We start from the raw sequence: 1,982 nt of genomic DNA, 5'->3' as shown, positions 1-1,982 counted from the left end.
GTTCCAACCCCTGGGTCTCAACCTGTTACAACTGCCCCCACCCCCACCATTCCCGCTCCCTGACAACCCTGGGTTGCTAAGGTGTTCCTTTGAATGGGGTGTGTGTATGTCAGGAGATACAGCTCCTGAGTCTTTGATGGTTGGAGGGTGGAATGACCTCAGGGTTGTGTTCAAACACTCACCAAAAGCCCAGTCTGGCATAGGATCTTTCTTTGAGGCAATGGCAAGAAGGATGCCCCAGCAGTGGCTGACCCAATTAATTCACTCCACTGCAGGACATGTGGGCTCTGCTTCTCCAGCGTCTCAGATAGAGTGTGGGCCGGCAGCTGAGAAGATAGCAGTTGTAGCAACTCTTAACCCCCAGCTCCTGGGGTTGCCTTGGACAGAAGCCAAAGGAAGGAGAGGAAAATACACAGGAGGTGTGCTTTGCACATTTTTTTCCCCCTTGAGAGAGGGGGAAGATTGTGAGGGAGAACAAAAAGTCTGTGGAAAAGGAAAGCCTTGCTTATTTATTTTAAAGGAGACTAGAGGAGGACAAAACACCATGACCTTGGGGAGAATATTGTCTGTTGTATTTGGGTGCTCATTATCTACGTGGCACTGGCTAAGTACTCCAACTGGGTATAGATTTCTCAACCCCAAGCCCCAGTGTGCATGAAATCCTTTCTGTAACTTCATTTCTATCCAGGACTCTCATTTCATCCCATAGTAGAAACTTAATTCAAGATCATTCAGCCAATCTGAGTTTTGTCTGTCTGTCTGTTTGTTTGTTTTTTGCATGCTTGGAATTTGGCACCTTTTTGCTTTCATCCCCCATCTTTCCTTCCCCAGGACTTGCACCTGAAATCTGGGGGCCTCAACATATCCCATCAAGACATTGGGGGTGGGAACAGTGAGAGGGTGAGTGGTGGCACACAGGTCCTGGGTGCTGGTTCTTTTGGGTGCTGAGTATGAGGCCTTCTCCCAGGCACTTCCGCCTGTGCCATCTCAGCTTCACTCTCCAGAACCCCCATGAGACTGCAGGCCCGCTAGCCTCACTTAAGGCCCTGGAAATTTCTGCTTTGCTGCTGCCTTCCCCGACAGGCCTATGAGCAAAAGCCCAACCCTCGCCACTTTCCTGCGTCCCTCTGGATAGCTCCAGCCTTGGGGCTGCTCTGCCAGATCTGTCTTGCTTTCCTCCCAGCTTGGGAGCTCACCTTGCCCTGCCTGTGGTCCAGCCCTGGCGCCATCTCCCTCTCCAGGGTGTCCAAGCAGCAGGGCAGGAACAGGGAACTTTCAACAAGTCTTCCAAGCCAAGCTTGGCTTTCCAATCCTCTCCAAAGACACTGCTTTCTTTCTCTGCATTTCTTCTGTTACTGCTCACCCAGGGCAGCAAGTAGACACTGCTGGGCAAAGTGGAGTAGTTGAGATTCATAGATGTTACTGCACTTGACCCGTCTTTAAAAAAGGACTCATGGATGTGTATTTAAAGTCTTGTTTGTTGCTTGCACAGTCTCACTGCTTCAACTGTTTTGAAATATGTGCTGAATCCTACTCTGTGGATTTCTGAAAAATTTCTCTCTGGCAAAGCATCTGAGAAAATGTGATATTTTATTATTTTAGCCTGAGAATTTGGCTCCTGTAATAGTAGGTCCTACTGAAAAAATATAGGCATAGCATTTCTATAACAGGATGGTAAAGACAAGCAGATTACCAGGAATGGACACCCAGCACTGGGTTTCTTTATTTTATGATATTCATGTTTATTTCCTTTTTGTAAGGTTTACCTTAATCTGCGGTTATTTGCATATGTGTCATAAGAAAGACCAAAAGGATTGAATGAATCTGGGCCCCTTAATGGTAGGTAAGATAACTACTAATCTACTAATGGTAGATAAGATACTACTTTCAGCAAGCAGACAGGCCACGCTGCAGGCCATTGTGTCTCTGAGGCCTATGAGGCGATTATGGCTGATGAGTGAGGGGTCTGAGTTGGCAGGAAG

General features: G+C 47.6%; 2 annotated features.

The window, feature by feature from the left end:
• Positions 574-1,111: an enhancer, noted in NCBI's record as "H3K4me1 hESC enhancer chr15:93105999-93106536 (GRCh37/hg19 assembly coordinates)". NCBI's record gives its function as "activates a minimal SCP1, AML or CMV promoter by ChIP-STARR-seq in naive H9 embryonic stem cells {active_cell/tissue: H9 hESC(naive)}" and the evidence as "EXISTENCE:reporter gene assay evidence [ECO:0000049][PMID:30033119]".
• Positions 1,112-1,651: an enhancer, noted in NCBI's record as "H3K4me1 hESC enhancer chr15:93105459-93105998 (GRCh37/hg19 assembly coordinates)". NCBI's record gives its function as "activates a minimal SCP1, AML or CMV promoter by ChIP-STARR-seq in naive H9 embryonic stem cells {active_cell/tissue: H9 hESC(naive)}" and the evidence as "EXISTENCE:reporter gene assay evidence [ECO:0000049][PMID:30033119]".

Source organism: Homo sapiens, chromosome 15 (assembly GCF_000001405.40).
Source record: "Homo sapiens chromosome 15, GRCh38.p14 Primary Assembly".
NCBI classification, from domain to species: Eukaryota; Metazoa; Chordata; class Mammalia; order Primates; family Hominidae; genus Homo; species Homo sapiens.
Note: the sequence above shows the minus strand (reverse complement) of the source record. Positions and strands in the feature narration are given on the sequence as shown.